Source organism: Homo sapiens, chromosome 7 (genome assembly GCF_000001405.40).
Source record: "Homo sapiens chromosome 7, GRCh38.p14 Primary Assembly".
NCBI lineage: Eukaryota > Metazoa > Chordata > Mammalia > Primates > Hominidae > Homo > Homo sapiens.
The window spans coordinates 34,343,133-34,365,207 of record NC_000007.14 but is presented as its reverse complement, the minus strand read 5'-3'; the positions used below and the strand labels follow the sequence as shown (position 1 = coordinate 34,365,207).

Below are 22,075 nucleotides of genomic sequence, written 5' to 3'. Positions count from 1 at the left end.
GATGATATATAATAGCGGGTTCAAGCATGCCCAGAGCTTGCTCCTGCATGATGGCTCTCATGCCAGACTTCATGGGCTTGTGGGTTGGGAACTCTAGTAGGATTTCTGTCCTGGCTGGAACTGGATTTATGGATGCATGGGCCTATTCCTCCATGACTTTGCATGTTCCTTTTGTCTGGAATGTTATGCTACCCTTTCTTCTTTTTCAAGGGCCAACCCAACATTCTCCTTCTCTGAAAAAGCCTTACCAACACTTACAGATGGCACGTCACACATACATTTATGTTAGAGCTCAATTGTTAGTCTGCTAATGGCAGAGCAAGCATTTTCAGAACTGGCATAGAGTTAGCACTTGATTACGCTGGGTGAATGAATGAATCAATGAAGGAATAAATGAATGCTTATCATCACATCAAAGTGCACCTGTGGCCTATAATACTCATCTGCCTTCTAAGACTTCAAGATGGCCCTTGATGGCCATTAAAAACCCAATTCCTGCCCACAAAGAGCTGAGAGGAGTAGGGAGTATACAGTAGGACCTGGCTCCAGGCAGAGGGGCAGGAAGTGAAGCTATGAGACCAAAGCAACGTGAATAAATTTGTAACTGCTGGGTAGATTTCAATCACTACCCAATTAAAAACATAAATTACTTTTGAGTTGGTTATCATTCTCCCAGCTACATGCTTCATTTCATTAATTCATGGGAGGATCCTGATGTATCTGTAACTTACTAAGGGCTGTTCTTAGGAATTTTTTTACTCAAAATGTATGATAATGTAGGTGGAAACTTGAGAGCCACTTCCCTTTAAATTCTCTCTGTGCAAAAGCCTTGCTCAGCAAATGATTGATGTAAATGAAGTTTCAGGGAAATGAGAAATGCTTGGAGCACAGAAGACTTTTGAAGGGAATTGACTCTGAGGACCGAGAAGTACCCAGTGATCCAGACCACAGCATGCTAATTCTCCACAGAGGTGCCATCGTGGTAGTTTCTATTTGCCTGCTTTCCATTCAGGATTTTGGCTCCTGATCCAACAGTGCCTGTGAGGCTGTGGTGCAGACCATTACCCTAACACAGGGAAAGCCACTCTGAACTTCTTGGCAAGGTTCTTAATCTTATGCCTCCTTTCCCCTCTCTTTAAAATGCAGATAATAATAGTATCTACTCCATATAGTTGGGTATAGTAAACACTATAGGTTTGTTAAATCGATTGTTTAAAACAATACAGTTCCTCTAACACCGAACGTCTTTCTTCTATCCCTAGCTCTAACATTTTCCCTCTCTCCTAACACTCCTTTTCTCCCTCCAACTCCTTATACCTGGCTATCATTTCTTTAGTAAATATTTCCTCTAAGAGGCCTTTTCTGATTCCCACCAGCTATGACAAAATTTTGCTGCCCATCCTATGGGATTCTTAGCACTGGATGCTATATGTGAACATTCGTGATCTAGGACTGTAATTTCTTGTTCACTTTTCTAGATTCCCCCCATTAAAATATAGACTAAGAGAGTACAAATTATGCCCACCGTGCTCCTCATTATATTGTCAGCATTGAACATAGAGTATGATCTATTGCGAGCCTCAATGAATGTGAAAAAAAGGTAATTTGAAAAGCAGGAAGAAAGGGAGAGATAGTGGGATAGAGTAAAGAATACAGGAAGGGAGGGGAGAAAAAGGGATAGAGGAAAGGAGGGAAGGAGAGAGAGGAGAGGGCAGATAGAGAGTTGGATCCCTAAGCTCTGTATCCTACACACAAAAATTCTAGGCTCTCAGTTCCCCCCACCTGGCACTCTTGCACTGCCCTGATATCACAGGGACCAAAGATACTAAGTCAAAGGAGAAAGCCACAAAGACTGGATGAGATGATGCAATTGGAGATTCATTGCATCCTTAGGATGCACAGTCCTAATTGACTGACAACAGCAAGCACTGCTTGGAAGAGAAAAAATGGAGCATCTTGCAGCAGAGTTCTCAGTCCTGGTACAACTCCTCCAGCTCCTGTGGGGGCTTCCTCTTCAGCTGTGCAGAGGTAGCCCCAAGGTTTCCTAGAGCAGCCTCAAAACAGACAACAAAGACCAACAGCTAATCTAGAAATTATTCATTATCCGTAGGTAGGAGGTAGGAATGCCAGCTCACAAAATCAGGTGCGCAAAAAAAAAATTACATCTCTTTATTTTATAGAGTTCGGCCCAATTTTTATTCTAGCATTTCCCTCATCCTAGGCATCTTGTGAAACTTGACCTCAGTAATCCACGGGGTTAAGCCATGGTTCCTGGAGTCAGGTGGATTGGTCAGGTGGCAGGTAGAGACATCTGGTATGCGGTCCTGGGCATACCTGGGAAGATACATTGTCCTTGTTTGTCTGGGGCCTTGGGTAACCAGCCTAGGACACCTGTGGTCCTACCTGTGGAGACAATCCATCTGGCATATGGCATTCTTCTCTGAAATCATGGCTCCTCACCAGGATACTGCTAGAAAGCTAGGCTGATCTCCATGCTCCAGCAGGCCTGTATTCCCTGCCTCTCTCCTGCTGCAGCCCTGGTTTTTGTGGACTGAGTGGGAGGACACAGGTGAGTCCCATTCTGTTTTCTGCCTCTTCAGTTCACTCTGCCTCAGCCACCCTTCATACTTTTACTTCTTTCAAAAACCCTCAAACCCTCTGTGAAGGCTTATAAGGAAAATGCCAGCTATTCTTGCCTGTGACTTCTGATTTCTGCTCTGTCACTTACTTTATCTGTGCCGATGAAGCCCAGAACAAACAACCTGCCTGCATGGGGAAGACAGAACAAGGAAAATCAGAGGCAGTGAAGCCAAACAAATGAAATAAATTGATGCCTCAAAATGTTATCTAGCCATTCGAAGGCCCCAAAGCATGAGATCCACAGATTCTCACACTCTACAGAGATGGAGGGTGGCGAGGATGGCGATCTCCCAAGACCTCATATATAATCCTCATCAATTCAGTCCAAAAATGTAGGTTCCAATGCCTGGCCCTTCTGTATGTGAAAGCCATGTGTGGCTTACTGTCTCTCAGCTTGCGTTAACATTCCAGGGCTTGACCAAATGAAAGGGCAAAAGAGGGTACACAGCCAAATTAGCTCAGTGCCTCACATGCCTTTTTCTGGCAGGCAGCTGCCATTTAGGGGCCCCTTGCTGGGAAAATCCATCCCTTAGTACCAGCTGCAACCTTGTATTTATGAGTGAGTCAACCTTTTACCAGCATCACTTGGAAGATGCACACAGTGTTCCCAATTTTAAAAATATAGTTATTTGGCATCTATCCTTTACCCAGAGCTGATTGAGAGTTGTGTTTTCTCATTGCATCAACGGATTCCACTGCTCTTGGTGTGAAAAGATGACAGATGCTGATGCTGTTGCCGTCTGAGTTAGTGAGCCTGTCTGCAAAGCCTGAGAATGTTTGCTGGAAAGGGGCAAGTGTATGTGTGTATGCAAACACATGCAGACACCCAAACACATGCATGTAGACACACATCAGCATGTGCAGCTTCATGGATGGTGTAGGTGTAGGCCAGGGTAGGCCTTACAAAATCTTCTTCAGATATCTAAAAGTGCATTTTTTTTCTGGCTTATTTCTCTATAAAACAGTCCCTACATTTCAGCTACATTTCAGGATTCATTTCTCTTTTGCCTTATGTTATTGGCTTTCAGAAGGAAGCATCCCAAATAAAAAGCAATGCTGCATTTTCATCATAATTGATTCAACCCATAGGTTTGTCAGCTTTGTCAAAAAACTTATGTATCTTTTTTTTTTTAGACGGAGTCTCACTCTGTCGCCCAGGCTCGAGTCCAGTGGTGTGATCTTGGCTCACTGCAAGCTCCACCTCCCGGGTTCACACCATTCTCCTGCCTCAGCCTCCTGAGTAGCTGGGACTACAGGCGCCCACCACCACGCCTGGCTAATTTTTTGTATTTTTATTAGAGATGGGGTTTCACCCTGTTAGCCAGGATGGTCTTGATCTCCTGACCTTGTGATCCACCCGCCTCAGCCTCCCAAAGTGCTGGGATTACAGGCGTGAGCCACCGCGCCCAGCCAAAACTTATGTATCTTTTAACCCCAGTGTCTACACCAGAGCCTGGACCTAGGTGGTACCTAAAACAAGAAGGTATTCCTACCAACACCATTTTTTTTTTTGCATTAGAACTTTCTGTCTTGCAGACTTCTAGTATTATTCTATTATTACTACTAGTCTTATATATTAAACCTGTGTTTGTTGCATGCCTGTGCTGAGATGTTTCTCTGTATATCTTTCATTCCTCAACATGAAGTGCAAAATTGAAATTGTTTTTCTCAGGGGGATTAAACAACTTGTCCAGGTCATGCAGCTTGTGAGTAGCAGAGTCAGGATCTTCCTAACTCCAGAGACAGCAGTGCACCACGATCACCTTAAAAAACTAAATTGTTGGATTCACGAGAGCGAGCGCTCGAAGGGGCCTAAAGAACATCCAACCTCTTTTACTTTCAGATAAGAGTGCTGAGGGCAAAACATATCAAGTGATCTACTCCATGAGGTCCCACAAATACTTTTGGGGCAAGCCTGTGTCCCTCACCTGTACTTGTAACAAATTGTTACTGATCCTCTGCAGAGGACAAGGAGCTCTGCCGAATAGTGTGGCCCACATAATATGTCTAAGTTGGAGCCCCTGCTCTCAGGCATTTGTTGCCTGCAGAAAAATAAAGAACATCAACGAAATGCTTTCCCCTCCAGAGAGAGTGATAGGCACAAAAGGAAATCTTTATGGTGTCTGGAAAGTATGGTTACAGGAGTATAGCCTAGCCCACCCTAACGAAAGCATCATCCTCCCTTGCCCTGCCAGACATGACAGAGCAATGCTGGACTGTGGCTGCTCTGGCACATGCAATAGTGCAATGCCCGGCTCTCCTCCTGCAGGAGGGAGGCTCTCTTTCTCAGGAGTGGGAGAAAGGAGGGAAAAGTTATGGAAAGGCTTCCTGCGACATATTTATTTTCAGTTAAGTCTGACCCACAGGAGAAAGCAGATCATCGAGGACTTAGTGTGAACTACGATTCAGAAATCATTGCTGCCTCCCATCAAGCAGGGCACAGGGTCACCTGGCCTCTCTTCTGCCATCAAGTCACTGTTGGAAGAGCTTTGTAGTCTTCAGTTTACAGTAGGATAAGAGATTCCTAAAGGCTGTCCTGGAAGTGGGCCAAACTTTCAACTCTACCCATTGATGAAGGGGGAAGGGAGTTAGGAGGACTGGGTGACTAGCAGATACTTTGGAAGTTCTCTCTTGAAAGGAGGTGGTTTCACTTGATCAAATTTAATTCTGGAAGTAGCTCAAGTACGAGGGTTATGAAAAAAAATTTTTGGGGGGATTAAGTCAAACTTTTATAAATAGGAATGTGCCTGATATCTTGATTTAAGCCACAAATAAATTTCTGGCACACACTGTGTTTGAATGACTGTCCAGATAATAACCAGGTTGCCTACTTGTATGCAGGATCATATTCCAGATAAGATGTAGTGGGTTACCATCTTACTTAAATCTTCAGGCAGTTCCCATTGCCCTTGGAATAATGTTCAACCACCTTGTGAAGACTGATGAGTCTGTGGACAAACTTCCCCCATTCCTCATGCCCCTACCCAGGATCTGTCCTACTGGTTTGACAGACGTCAAAAAAACACACAACTATAAGTCAGGAGTGGAGCATTGGTGACAGCTTTAAAAATATTCCTTTGCTACTTTCCATATATAATTTACACTGTATGATTGAGAGCTTTTCATTTTTAAGAAGATGTTTATAACTTTAGAGCAAGTCAGTGTTGCTAGAGAAAACACAAATCTGAAAGATTTTTAAATATCAATTTTTATAAACACATGAAAAATCCTGAGTTGTTCTGTTTGGTACTAGATGCTAGCCAGTGTATGCTACCCAATGATCCTGTTCTACAGAGACTCTGGGCAAACATCCCTGAACCAAAGACTAGCTAGAGGCTCACTAACCCCACTTCCTCTATCTGGGCATGTGGAAGACTGTATTTCCCATCGGTCCCACAATTAAGTTGTATCCATGTGAATGGATCTCATCAGTGGAAAGTAGGAGGAAGCCAGGTACACAACGTGCAAATGGCACTCTAAAGCCCTTAGCGTGATCCTGTCTTCTCCGTCTCTGCCTTTTACTACAACTTTGGAAAACTGAAGGACCCTGAACTCCTGAATTACCACAAGTAGCTACTCAACCCTCCAGACAGAGTGATAGGCACAAAAGGAAATCTTTATGGTGTCTGGAAAGTATGGTTACAGGAGTATAGCCTAGCCCACCCTAACGAAAGCATCATCCTCCCTTGCCCTGCCAGACATGACAGAGCAATGCTGGACTGTGGCTGCTCTGGCACATGCAATAGTGCAAAGCCAAGCTCTCCTCCTTCAGGAGGGAGGCTCTCATTCTCCCAGCTCAGGAGTGTTGCCTGCCAAGGGCTCATAGCTGAGTCCCTCTCTAGGAATTGCCCTCAGCCAAAGAAAACTTCCTCTTCCAAGGTTATGACCCCTCTCCAAGATCAGCTTCATCTTATCATTGCCCTTTTAGGGTTTGCAAAAGCCTAGATTCCTTGCCTCAATTTGACATTCCTTTGCAGGGCTTCCCCTGTTCCAGAGCTGCCATGTGGTTTGCTGAGGCCTCTTCGGCAACTGCCTTGCAGTTTAACTTTTCCTTCTGTCCAATCGTGCTTCCTAGTTGTGTTCCCTCACAGGGTAATTCCTGTATTGACTATACCCCAACAAGCTTCCTGCATGAAAATGTGTCTCAGGGTCTACTTCCCAGGGAACCTGAACAGTGACACCTCTTATTCCCACAAGATATTAGGCTTTCTCTTGTTTGAGAATAACCTATCTAAGACGTTCTGCTTTGGACAATTTTGCACTCCCATCCCTGCTGAGCCAACCTGCGTTGGTCGTTGACATCAAACATAGTCCAAATATTTTCTCCTCCATCTCTGCTGCTCTTTGACAGGCTTCCTGCTCCAGGCAGTTCTTCACTCTCCCCGTACCTCCTCCACTGTGGCATTTCTCCAAGCTATTGCAGTCGTGGGCATGGCTGCTGCCTGGTGGACAGTGAGCTCAAGGAGCAGGTCTGAGTCTTCTGTGTAGCCACAGGGGTTATCTCAGTGCCTTCCAGGCCTGGTCCTCAGAGCTGTAGAGAAACCGTCACTCCGGGGCTCACCACGAGTGGAGGGCTTTGGGGAAGCCCACCATGGCACCATAACTTCTTTAGATATTAGTTTGGATTTGTTCTTTCTGTCTTGAGAGATTTGGAAAAGATGAGAGGTGTTTGGCCTTGTTTTCTATAGTATTTTTACTTTCACCAGCCTCTGGCCAATTTAGCAGTACTCTACATCTGAGTTGCTGGAGGGCAGCTTTTCTTCCTAGTCTTTAAGGAAATCTAAACTCACTGAAGCTATCCCATGAAGAAGGAGGAGAGAGAGGTGAGTGCCTTGGAGAGAGTCCCAGTACATAGAAGAGAATGGAAGCCAGGGGTTTCCCCAAATACCGGGGCCTATGTTCCTTCCCTGGCAGCCTGATGAGGAGTGGGCTGGCTGTGGTCCCTACAGAGGACTAAAGTTCAGACTGTGCACTCGTGAGAGTGAGGAGAATGTGTATCAATACAGGCTGATATTTTATGTCCTGGTAGCCCAGCATCTTAGAAGCTCAAAGTCAGATTGTATTTATTCTGAAGACAGTCTTATGACATTTCTTGTACAAGAGGGTTTGTGGTTAGAATTCACCCTGAATATACAGATAGTCAAACTGGTTTAGGGTGAATTTCTCTGAGAGTAAGAATATTATTTTAACCACCTGACTTTCTCTCTCTCTTTGTATCCTAGCTAGAGCCCTCTGAGATGAGTAACGCTTTCTCAGAGGCTTAACAATCCTCCTCCACTCCCTTTGTTCTCCTAGCAAAACATTTTTATAATGTAAAATACCCTTCCCACATCCGGCATATGATACTGACCTCAGGAGCATTCATCTGAATGTATGTCTCCAAGTTTATTTACAGCCTGACTTGTAAATAAAGCTAGGTGACTCTTTCTCTCCTAGAAGCATGGAAGAATGTATGGGATTTAAGAGTGTTGGTATGCAAATGCTGCTTTTGAATAAAGGAGACAAATAGATTTGCAGTCTTGACAAGAGTCACCTGTCCTGGGAAGCACACATGATATCTGGTACTTTAACCACCTACATAGTGATTTTGTGCATATGCAGGTCACTGATACTGGAGAAAATAATAATAGCTGTGACTGTTTATGGGATAGGAGTGCTTCAGAAGAAGGAGATTCAATTGGCTAGAGATTGGAGCTAATTCTGTACTATAACAAGCATATTTAATTGAGAAGTTTGCCTCTTCAAGCTCTAATGAGGTATCCATAAATTCACCCAGACAATGCCATGATAATTGAAGGTATCATGAGATGAATAAATTAGACCTCCCAAGATTCCATCAGCAAGAAGAGCTTTGACCTTCTCCTTCCCCAGGTGGGGTGACTTTGCTCTGTTCTCCCCTCGAGTCATTTTTCATCCTTCTCTGCCTTGCTCTGTGCTCCAAGAGGCTGAGCTGTAAGGACCACATCATGGGTCTCCCTGTCCTTTAGGAGAAGACATCTGCACAGTAGGAGACACCAGCAGGAAATAGGGAGGCATGAAGGATTGGGAATTTATTTCCTTGGGTCTCTGTTGGGTCGCATGTTGACAGTGGTATGTGCCTCTCCGGAAGGCTGTGGGTCCTCTCTGGGGATTGTCTTCCTTCCTCACCTACAGCCACAGCTCTTTCTAACCACTCCACCCCCTTGCCTGGACAGCTCTCAGGGTAGCAATGACTCCTCAGTGTGAACAGCTCCAGGGCCTCACCATGCCTTATTGGTATTCTCTAACCCTACTCACACGTTTATGCGTAGCTTCCTCCTTAAACCCTCCTCTATTACCCCTATCTTGCTGTGCAAGCATCATGATGATATATTATCCTTAGCTCCCCATGCCTGCCAAAGGTAGGGGGCAGCAATATGGTAGGCACAGTAGTCTTCCTTAGAAAACCTTGGCTTTATATCACATCATCACATCACACCATATATTACATCACAATATCCTATTGATATTTCTTATATTAACAAACCTCAATCTTCTAACCATATTTGTCTGCCTTTATTTTTCAAAGGCTTATATGTGCTCCCAAACTCATTTTTGACTATGAAATACAGATGTTTCTTTGAAAATTAATGGGTCCAAGAATACTGTCTTGTTTTGACAATATTCCAGGCCAATATTCCTCACCCAGTATTAGCTGATGCCTTTGCTCACCAAGCTTGTGTCGCCACTATGTAATTCTCCTGCCTCAAACATCTTTTCTACTCATCTCTACATCTTCACAGTCTACTCTTTCTTGCACAGTTGATATCTCTTCTATTTATTCATCTGTCTAGCATATTTTGAATGCCTGCTAAAGTGTCTGCTAAATGATAGGCCCCTCAATAAAAGAGGCGTACAAGAACCTTCCCTACAATTTCATTCTTCTCTTCAGTGCCCCCAAATCTCCGTGTTTGTCCTGCAATGATCACATTCTACTTTGCTCTGTGAGAGTTGTATCCATGCCTGTCTTTGCCACCAGACTGTGTGCTTTCTGAGGATAGAAAATACAACTTGATCTTTGCCTTCTCCTCTTAAGAATCACATACATTCAAGTACACAGAATGCACTCAGTTCATTCACCTCCTCTCAGCCAGCAAATGCCCTGAGTGTCTGATCTGATGTGGAAGACTGCTTTGACAGGCTGAAATCTTTTGTCAGATATTTCAGAGTTGACAAAACATAGGTTCTGACCAAACTGAGCAATTTAGGCATAAAACAATATTATTAACTCCAGAAAGGGGATTTCAGAGGGAGCTGGAACAGAGAAGTTGCCCAATCAGAGCTGTCCTGGTCACAAAATAAGTTCAGCTCCCCAAACTTTTCAGCCCTGATTCTACCCAAAGCCTCAAATAACTAGCCAGGATAGTTTTCATCAGTCTGAAAAATTTACATAACTTCTGATAAAGTCTAGCCCAAACATTCCTCTCACACTGGGCTGACTCATACACCCAAAATATGTCTGACCAGTGAGGTGGAAATAAATGATTCTTATTGGCTTTTAACTATCATTCTCCCCAGCTCTGTTTTCCTCAGTCCTAGGGGCAGATTCTAATTTGGTACAGAAAAAAAAAGTACTCCTGCCAATTCCCATCCTGGAATGACTGAAGAAAAGAAAATGCATGTGATTATTTTAAAGGTACATGTATTTATTTTAAAGTGTCCTTCACAACCTCCACCCCGCTCCACACCCACCATCACCCTCATCACCATAGAATTGTTTTAACCTAATTGCATCTTGGAATTATGCCAGTGCCTCATGTAAATAAAAGCAAGGAGATTAAACACCCTGCAAAAAATGAGATTAAGAATAACACCCATTTTTCAGAGACTTTCAGGAGAAAGTCCTTTCTGCTTTTCTATCAGGAATAGATGTAAATTGACGAAACAACTGCTTTGATATAACTTATGTTAGAAATACTGCAAAAGGTATAATTTATCCAGTTTTCATTTCTAAACTGGATTTGAGAAAGGTTACAGCCAATGTTTACACCCTACTTACAAGAGCGTAGGTGTCCGAGAGACACAGAAATTTTGTTTAACCCTCATTTCTGGTTTCATTTCATGTTCATGCCCCTCTTGGCCTTCTCCTTTTCTTCTGCTTTTATCTTGTCTTGGCATATTTTCTGTATCTCTGATGGCTTCCTAAATACTTTACAGAAAAGGGAAGCGCATACCAAAATTTTAATAATTTCTCCTTTTGAACCCTTATCTGTCTACCTCACAACAGATAAGTCAAATCATTCAAAGTTAACAGTAATTACCCTCAAAGCAAGGGCCAAGATACAGGAGCACATATTCTGCATTCTCATATGCAGAGGCCAGATGGAGAAGGGGAGAATCCATCTGCAAACATTCGTCACACTGCCTCACCGCCCACTTCCACCCTCCAAAATGATATTGCCTCTATTTTCTCCAAAGCCTGATTGGTGGCCAGAGAGAATTGATGTTCTTGACCTAATTTTTATAGGAATTAAGGGTGAAAACACAGGTGCACACATTAATCTCTATATTAAGGGATATCTGGAAGGCTCTTAGATACTGACATTGATTCATGCTTTTGCAGTAATTCATAATTGAAAAATGGAATACATTGATTCTGTCTCGACACCTTACCATTTAAACTGTGCTATACTTCTTCCTTATATCTTAAGAGAATAATTTGGAAAACGTAACATAAAATGCTGAAGATGGAAATTACCTTTCAAGTCATCTATTCTAAGTACAAACGTGTATGCACATGTATTTTTAAAAATTCGGTTGCAAAATTAGCTTATACTTAGTATAAGAAAATCAGATTGGCCTGGAGTGTAAGAAGTAGAATGAGTCCTCTCACTCTCAGTCATATTTCCCAGAATAAGCACCATTAATAGGAACGTTCATTCATTCATTAATGCATGCATTTATTCAAAAAAATGTCTATTGAGCAACAATTACATGCTAGGCTCTGAATTAAGACAGGGAGAAAAAAATAAACACATTGATATAGAAAATAATATTAGCTGATGAGAGAGAGAGTGACAAGCAAGGTCATTTTAGATAGTGTGTGACTGCATGGGAAAGGGAGCGGCAAATACAGAGCCCTTCAGGCAGGGGCGCGCTGGGTATGTTCTAGCAACATCGAAGAGGCCTCTGTATCTATGATGTTGTGAGGAAGAGGGGGAGTGCACAACACGAGATTACAAATGTCAACAGTAGGCAGATTTTGTAGGTATTGAAGCACTGTGTGGAGCTCCGTTTGCTTTCTAAGTGCAAGGAGAAGAAATGAGTGGTTTTAAATGGGAGTGTGGCAACTTTAATAGCGAAAAGCTTTTATGTGGAAAGACATGATCTAGGAAGATGCCTGAACATTTATTTATAAGGAGGCACCATTCAAAGGGCAGAACTGCCATATATAAACATAGATGACCGTTTTGTAGTATTTATGCTTATAGCTGTTTCCTGTTGCATTAAATCCTATAATAGTCTTAATAGCAACAACAAATAACAAAGCTGGACTAGCCAACTCAGCAAGATCTATCTGACGTCTTGCCAGTACCTGAGATCACACGCGGATCATCCAAATGAGGCAAAGGGATGCACGTTCTTGCACCACTAGAACAGCCTATGCCTTTTCTTTATGAAGTTACTAATATCTCTGTATATATTTTTATGATATTTTTATTTTGAAATAGTTTAAGATTCACAAGAAGTTTCAAAAATAGTACAGAATTTCCATGTGCCCTTCACCCAGTTTCCCTCAATGACAATATTTTGCATAACCATAGTACATGTCAAAACCAGGACATTAGCGTTAATATAATACTGTTAACTTAGGTACCGACATTATTTGGATTTCTTCAGGTTTTACAGGTTCTCTTTAAAAACTATCTGTTGACCAGGCACAGTGGCTCACGCTTGTAATTCCAGCACTTTGGGAGACTTAGGGGGGCAGATTACCCAAGGTCAGGAGTTCAAGACCAACCTGGCCAAAATGGCAAAATCCTGTCTCTACTAAAAGTACAACAATTAGCCGGGAGTGGTGGTGGGCACTTGTAATCCCAGCTACTCAGGAGGCTGAGGCAGGATAATCACTTGAACCCAGGAGATGGAACTTGCAGTGAGCCAAGATCACGCCACTGCACTTAAGCCTGGGCCATAAAGGGAGACCCAGTCTCAAAAATAAATTTAAAAAATTGATTAATTAATTAAAATTGTTTATTTATATTTGGAGAGTGTATAATAATATGAAATTGCCTCCTACATGTAGATGCAAGTAACCACCACCATAACTGGGATGAAAAACTGTCTCATCACCACAAAGAGACTCCCTCCAAATATCTCTTAACTGTACTTTTGTTTGGTCACATGTAAGCTTTTGTTTTATGAATACACCAAGGCTGGACATGAAAAATACTTTAATTTGTGCTTCTTCTTTTTTTTTTTTTTTTTTGAAACAGAGTCTTGCTTTTGTCACCCAGGCTGGAGTGCAGTGGCGCCATCTTGCTCACTGCAAACTCCGTCTCCCGGGTTCAAGCGATTCTCCTGCCTCAGCCTCCTGAGTAGCTGGGATTAGAGGCACCCGCCACCACGCCTGGCTGATTTTTGTACTTTTAGTAGAGACGGGGTTTTGCCATATTGGCCAGGCTGGTCTCCAACTGTTGACCTCATGTGATCTGCCCGCCTCAGCCTCCCAAAGTGCTGGGATTATAGGCGTGAACCACTGACCCTGGCTTGTGCTTCTTTATTTAACATTCAGTTTATTAAAATCTGTAAATCTACTTAACGCAATGTTTCTAAAGATTCAAACATCATAAATATTTATTTCTACATTTCATGAATTATCTTAAATATTTACAACTTGATTTAAATGTAATTAACAAAATTCCCTAAACCATCTCAGTGCAATCAAGAGTTTAATTTATCAACCTCTTTTAATTGTTCAATCACCTTCAAAACAGAGTATCAGCATGGTTTCAAAATTTGTTTCTGTACTTTTTACTTACCCTGATAGATAAGTAACAATACTGTGCTTTCTCACACAAACCTGTTAAGATGATAGGTTCTGACCTAATTAACTGATCCCTGGTCATGGCATGAGACTTGCTTGTGTCTTCCAGGGTCTCTCAAATCTAGACAGATCCTCAAAACACCCTCTTTTTCCAATAAAACCTCTCTTATAAATGGAATTTGCAAGCTCATGTCTTCAAACAAAACAAAGACAAAATTTTAGATTTTTTTTTCTCCCTGGCCTGCATTGCAAAACTCATTTTCCTCTCAAATTTATTCACAATTTTGATACAGTTTGTTAGCATTTTTGGAAACATGGGTATGCTTTAATCACATATTATTAGAAGGCTTATCTAGGGTTTTTCAATTCAGGAGATGAGAATCCAGTCCAAGGAGACTGCTTTCTCCCTCTGCTTGTCCATCATATTGATACACTCTGTGGAACAACCTGGTTGTTCCCTGTCCTTCTGATTCTTAATAAAATCTCTTCTTTTCCCAGAAATATCTTGCTTGCTCACAATTCCTTAATCTACCCATTCTTGCCCACATAGGTAAAGAAAAATTCAATATATACTTCATAGGAACAACACTCACTCACCTATATCAACTATCCCATAGGCATTATAATTAACAAGAACAGTCACATATTGTTATATTTTTATTTTTGTTTTATAGCTATCATCCAGTCCTTTTTACTAAATGTCATTTGTTTTTAGGCTTTTTGATGGAATTGCTACAACTTGGTGCATGCCTGCTCCTAAAAGAAATACTCAGGAATTGTCTCATAAAGTCCTCACCTACTGGCAAAAACAAGATGTTCTACTCCCAGGTTGACTTTTTCAAGCCCCAAGATGTTGAGTCAGCCATTCTCCAAGGATCTCGATTTCCTTTTAATGGAAAATAACATTAAACACCAAATATAAGCCTCGCTGTCCCACATGCGTATTGGGGACAAGATGAAACCTGCTTCCAGGCTACTTTGGCAGCAGAACTGAAAAAGGCTTTTTTTCCAGATATATGATTTCTCATCGACAGGGTTGCACAGCCCTCTTTATTGTTCGTGTAAATGACACCCTTGGATCTGAACAATACACACCAGGACAATTGTGTGCAACAGTTCTACAAACTGATATTTCTAATTAAAAAATAAAAAGTAAAAAAATTTCTAATGCATTTCTCATTAACCAGGATACGTACATTTTAAACTCTCATTCAGACAGATATTGCAATGTGTTTGCTTATTATTTGCTTTTGTGGGTCACGCAAAGCCTTCCAATTTGCTGTTAGTTGGCATTTGATGTACCTATTTCCAGACTTCTTATATACATATACAAATTTGGACACATGCAGATAGTATTGTGGTTTTGATACTTGTTTTTTTAAAAATAGAATTCTACTCTATAAATTGTTCTGCAAATTATTATATCTGACCAGTATAATTTTCTGCAATGATGAAAATGTTCTATACCTGTGACTATGGAGCCCTTAAAAACATGGCTAATATGAACAAGGAACTAAACTTTTCATTTTATTTTATTTCAATTTACCTAACTTCGAGTCGTTAGTAGAAGTTACATGCAGCTAGTTGTTAATGTATTAGACAGCTCAGTTCTAAAGGATCATATAGATTACCTTCATGACCTGAGACAGGAAAAGATTTCTTAAGTAAGATACAAAAACCATGGAGTAAATGAGAAAATATTTGTATTATATTAAAGCTAAGATGACACAAGATGGCTCACATCTGTATTTCCAGCACTTTTGGAGACTAAGGCAGGAGGATTGTTTGAGCCCAGGAGTTCAAGTCCAACCTGGCAACATAGAAAGACACTATCTCTTCAAAAAATTAAAAAAAAAAATAGCCAGGCATGGTGGCACATGCCCATAGTCCCAGCTACTGGGGAAACTGAGGCAGGAGGATCATTTAAGCCTAGGAGGTTGAGGCTGAAATGAGCCAAGATCACACCACTGCACTAGAGCCAGAGTGACAGAGTGAGAGCCTCAAAGAAAAAAAAAAAACCTAAGAAATTTTATGTAGAGATACCATTAAAAGCATTAAAAGAGTAGAAAAAGAACCACAGAATGGGAGAAGATATTTGCAACACTGTTAAGACAAAGGGCTTGTATACATAATATATGATGAGCTCCGATAACTCAGTAAGAAAAACACAGACAATCCAAAATGAACAAGGTATAATAAGCCCTCACTTAATGTCTTTGATAGGATCATGGAAGCTGTGACTTTAAGCAAAAAATAAAATATAACAAAACCAATTTTACCATAGGTGAATTGATATAAGTAAGAGTTCAGTTCCTGGCATATTACTGGTGACAAAAAATCACCAAACTTCTAAAAAAAAGACCAAAATACATTTAATATTAAACATTGAAATAAATGTGAGCTACACATACATTTAGGAAAGATTAATAAAAACAATATAAGTTCATTCACTTATTCCAATTCAGAGTCTCGGGTGCTGGAGCCTCTGCAGGGGCTAAGGGTGAAAGGTGGAAATACACCCTGGACAGGACACCATCCCGTCGTAGGGCACACTCACACCCACACCCACATTCATTTGGACTGGGACACTTTAGACTGTCAATTCATCTAATGTGCACATCTTTGAGATGTGGGAGGAAACTGGAGGACCTGGAGAAAATGCATGCAGACATGGGGAGAACATGTCAACCCCACATAGACAGTGACCCCAGCTGGGAATTGACTTTTTTTCTCTTAAGGTTATTATAAAACAATGTTATTTGAGGACTTGCTGTATTTGTACAAGCCCTTGTCTATAAAACTAACTCAGATGGCTAATACACATTTGAAAAGGTGCGGAATTTCATTATTTCATTAGTCATAAGGAAAATGAAAACTAAAGCTCTACACATTCCAAAATGGCTAAAGTTAAGAAGAGCAATATTATCGAGTGTTGATAATATTGTGGAGCACCTTGAATGCTTATGCATTGCTGGTAGGAATGTAAATTAGTACAACAACTTTGGGAAACAGTCTGGCATTATCTAATAAAGTTGAACATAGTCATTCCCTATGAGTAAGCACTTCCAGTCCTAGGTATAAACTGGATAGAATTGCTTTGTATAGAGACACAAAGACATATGCAAGAATGTCCACAGCATCCTTACACATAATGGCCGAAAAACTAAAAACACCTCAAATGTTAGGACTACAATGGTAAATTGTGTATATTCATAGAGTGATATTTTAATCAACAATAAGTACATTAGAATTGCAATTACATGTGATGGCAAAAGTAAGTCTCACAAACATAATATTGAGCAAAACAAGGCACATATGAAAGAATAAGCCTGCTTATATAAAACTCAAAGATGGGTAGAACTGAACTATGGTATTAGAGATTAGAATACTAGTTAACTCAAAAAGTGCCAGAAAGTGGGCTTTTATGACGCTGGCTATTTATTTCCTGGCTTTATGGTAGTTACACAAATGCTTGCTTGATGATACTTTATGAAGAAGGACATTTCAGTTTTAAATACTATTCATTATGTGCGTTATTCTTCAATAAAAAGTATTTTTAGAAAGAGATATTAAAATTTGAACCCCAGAGAACAATTTGAGAGTGACCATTTCCTAAAGCAACTGTTATTACTTTTCAAAACATTTAATATTGGTATAAACAAATAAACAAATACAGTCTCATTATAGTTTGCATTTTATGTTATTAATAATTTTACTAGATATTTGTATTCTGCATCTGTGAAATGCTTATTCGTAGCCTTTTCTCATATTTCTATGGAATATTCGTCATTTGCACAATGATTTATAAGAATAAAATTGTATATTTTGTTCTATTGTAAAACTGTTGTATAGTAAGGATTGTGCCCATTTATCTGTCAAACAGGTTGCAAATATTTCCCCCAGTCTGGCATTGAATTTTGTTTGTAGTGTGATTTTCCCATGCCAAAGTGTTTGTTTTTATTTTTTCTGCAGTCACTTTCATTATATCATTTAGTTTATGGTTTCTGAGGTTTTAATTGCTTATAATAGCATCCCCACTCCTAGATTATAGAAAATATTTCCCTGTTTTCCTCTAGTATTTAAATAGTTAAATTTTAAAAAATAGAAATATTTTATGCATCAGAAGTTTATTTTTGTTTATGATGGGATACTAAGTCTACATTTTTCCTTATGTCCGTCTGCATGTCAATTGTCCAAACAACATTTATCGCATGCATGACTCATGTTGTCTCCACCAATTTGATTCTCATTTAAATATGTGTATATTTACATATGTAAATATATACATATATATGTATAGATATATATTAGATTCCCTTACGTACTTGAGTTTGTGTCAGGATTCTCTGTTATGTTACTTAATTTATTTACCTAATCTTGTACCTATGCCATGATGATTTAATTACTCTGGCTAATCAGGCTACAGCCCAGGCACTGAAATATAAAATAGCAGGTTTTGCTTAATGTTTTGGCTTCATCACTCATATGTCTGGCTTATAGGTGCTATTCCGTGTGCTTCTGTCTCCCCATGGCATCTCATCCTGCAGAGTCTCTGCCCGTGGACTCTCTTTTCAGAAGAGTAGTCAGAAGTCTTAATATCTTATGTGGCATAAGGCTTCTAAGCACAGAAAAGTGTGTGGTGTTAGGTCTTTTTAAGGTATAACCTTGGGATTGCCACCACAGTACTTTGCTAACAAATCTTCTGCTTTGTTAGGAAGTCACAGGTTAGTCACATTCAATATGGAAATGACTACACATGGGCATTATACCAGGAGGAGTGTCCATTGAGTGCTACCTTTGCAGACTAGCTACCACAGTGGGTATCCTTGTCTTAGTCTTATCTATAATAGAAATGTCTTAAGTCCTTCATTACTATTTGTTACTGATTTCTAGATTTTATCAAGATTAAAAAGGGATCTACAATCCACAGAGGTTTGTTTTCTTTTATCGGAATGGTTGCTAAATAGTATCAAATACAATTTGAAATTTATAAAGATAATCATTTGGTTTTCTCCTTTAAAATACTTATGCAATAAACTCTATTAACAGAATTCCTAACCTTGAATCCTTCTTCTCTGCCTGAAGTAAATGCTCCATGGTTGAGATGCATTATTCCTTAATACACTGTTAGATTCTATTTGTTAGTATTTTATTGAAGAGTTTTCCCATTATATACATGAGACTGACTATAATTTACTTTTGTGGCACATTTTGTAAGTCCTTCACTTTGTAAATAAGGCATGTGAGATCAGAGAGGTGAAATGAGTGTCTCAAGTCAGCAACAGAACTTATACAGACAGCCCCTGACTTAAGATGTTTCTACTTATGATATTTTTGACTTTATCATGGTGCAAAAGTAATACACATTCAGCTGAAACTGTACTTCAAATTTTGAATTTTGATCTTTTCCTGGGCTAGTGATGCAGCTGTCTCAAGCCATAGCTCCCAGTCAGCCACGAAATCATCAGGCCAAACAACAGATATTCTACAATGTATAAAATGCATTTTTGGGCCGGGCGTGGTGGCTCACACCTGTAATCCCAACATTTTGGAGACCATCCTGGGCAACTTGGTGAAGCCCCGTCTCTACTAAAAAAAACACACACACAAAAAGCATCTGTACTAGAAATAATGCCTTCTGTGGATTGAAGTGAACAATAATTTATTCTATATTTCAAAATAGCTAGAAGAGAAGATATGAAATGGTCCCAACACACAAAAAAAGATAAATGTTTGAGTTGATGGGTATCCTAATTACCCTGACTTGATTGTTAGAAATTGTATACATGTATACATATGTACAAACCTGCACTTTGTGCACATGTACCCTAAAACTTAAAGTATAATAAAAAAAATAAGAAATTGTATACATGTATCAAAATAGCACATGTACTCCATAAATATGTACAATCATTGTGAATGAATAAAAATGAATAAATACATAAATAACACCCTCTGAGTCCAATTAAATTAGTTTCCTACTACATGATGCTGCCAGTTTCTCAAAATTTTTAGGGTTACCTATTTGTTTGTTTTGATTTTAGGACAATTTCAAAATCTTTTAGAATTACAGAACTCAAGAAAATGTTCAGTGTAGTTCAGTTAATATTTACTAACTGTAAGTTATTCAAATGGTGTTTAAATCTAATCCATCTTCTGCCAGATCTGTGTAACAACACATATTATTAGTAGCAATAGCTTATTTCCCCTGGTTATTAATCCATAGGGATTCTCAAGACTTTGAGACCCTGTAGACCACATGCAGTTAAGACTACAGAGCCCTAGATTGGTCTCACCTGAGTTTTCTTGGGGTGGACTCTGCTGTCATGTGGCATATATCATAATCTTCCCCCCATCTGCCCACATGCATGTAAGTTGTATGCAAGGCCACCTAGAGATGTAACTTCATATATGCCTCACAGCAATGCTTACTTACATCTGTGCCTGGAATTACTCCAGAGCAAGTTGAAGTTCCAAAGCCATTCTGTGAGTTTGGCAGTATTGCTGGGGCCCATGTATTGCATGGCATAAACCTTTTGAAAATGATTATCCTTCTTACTCTCCAAAGGTGGTGAAAGATTCCAGGCTATCTGTACCATACCTCAGGGTATGTTACCATCTCCTCCTCCTCATTCACATATCACCAGTGGTCCTCATATCAGACAACTCCTAAGGACCCACCCCATTAGCGTATCAGGTATTTGGGGGCCATCCATGAACCTTAACTTTGGCTCAGAATGGGGCCTCTACTATGTATGTTGTTTTGTGTGTGTATATTTTCTTCAGAGATTTAAGAGCAAGGAGAGAAAAATAATCTGTGTAACTAAATCTATACAAACTCAGCAGACAGCATAAAATCAAAGGCTTAACCATCTTCACATACTCATAACTCCATATGTAAAGTATATAAGTAGGCAACTATCTGGTGATTTTGCTCAATAGATCAAATTACAATTTGTAAGATTTAGACTAAAACTCATGCTTTAAAAAACAGCTCAGATATTTTGAAATCAGTTAAGAGACCACGAAGTTATGTGCATTTAGGCTTGTGTGAAGAAACTAACCTAAACTAAATAAAACACCAGCAATAACAGCAACAAAACATTTTCAAGAAATCTATAGGATTTGGCTTCAAGCCTTTTGCGTAAGATTTTCATTTAAAGCCAAAGTCCTCTGCAATGAATGCAATAAAATCAGTGATTACTTGGGCTAAACATTTGATGCAATTTTGTCTCCAAGTGTTTCAAAATATCAAAACTATTTTTGCCATCTTAAAATATCAAAAGAGAACTAGGTTCCTTTAAGTCACTATTAGAATTAGTACAATTTAGAAAAGAATTGCTTGGCAAAAAACTGTGAAGGCAGATTAGTTTATTCAGTACTTGAAAAGATTAAAAAGCAGCACTACTTGGAGAAGTGTGGTTCTGGCCCCCAAATAAAATTATAAATCCCTGGAATTGTATGGAGAGACTTTATGTAGACCAAACCGAACAACACAATTAACTTAATACATGATAAAGCAAGCTTTTCAACACAAGTCTATACTTGAAGAGAAAGGATTATTTAATAAGTAATTTTAGAACAATTCAATGACAGTTTTGAGAAGAAAAACACATTCACACCTTTTCCACCAGACATAAATAAAGCCCATGCATGAGCACAAGCTGTTTCATCCACCAAGGAGGCCTCCTCTTGACTGTCTGCCTCCCACGCATCCTCCACCACCTTCCAACACCTTCTGTGTGGTTCCTTCCTAATTTCCTTTCAAAAACATAGATGCATCTTATTCTCTACCCTCAATTCATGTAGCTAACTGTCCTATGGCAAATACAGTATTACATTGGAATCATTTGCAGCCTCCTAAATAGAGGTTTTATTTCAGTTCTTTTAACTTTTGCAACTCTAGTACCTAAGTCAGCATTGGCCACAAAATAGGCATTGGAAGAGTCTTTCATGAAAAAATGGCACCAAAATATACAGGATAATATGCACCAATTAAAATTCCAAGCATGATTTAACAAAAGGTTTGTAAGGAATAACTTTATAAGAATAGACTGCAAAAGCATATGTACAATCAGATTACAGCTATGAAAGAAGTCTAGTTTCATAAACTCAAAAATAAAACTATAGAAATATATGTGTGTATTAGGGCAATTAAAATATTCTCCATTGTTTCATTCATTATCTTTTCAAATATGTTTTTCTAACCACAAATGTTAGCCATGGCCTCAACATAACTATAACAGGTTGTTAGAATGAGACTCTTTCTATAACTGGTTTCAATTGAAGCACCAATACAATACATATCAGATTACAAAAATGAGGGAGAGATGAAGGCCTCCCAGGCAGTGGGTAGCTTCCAAAGTGTCCACTCGGAAAGAGTTGACATGCTGTTCTCTGGCATTGGGAGACACGGGAGACTGGGGCCTG

The 22,075-nt window shown here is 39.7% G+C and overlaps 1 long non-coding RNA gene across 2 annotated transcripts in view; it reads left to right on the top strand.

The window, feature by feature from the left end:
• Positions 1 to 18,696, top strand: part of NPSR1-AS1 (NPSR1 antisense RNA 1) — a 487,820-nt gene extending 469,124 nt beyond the window's left edge. For both annotated transcript variants that reach the window (NR_033665.1, NR_033664.1), the window contains one exon: positions 14,361 to 18,696. This is a non-coding gene — a long non-coding RNA (NPSR1 antisense RNA 1). The remainder of the gene's footprint in view (positions 1 to 14,360) is intronic.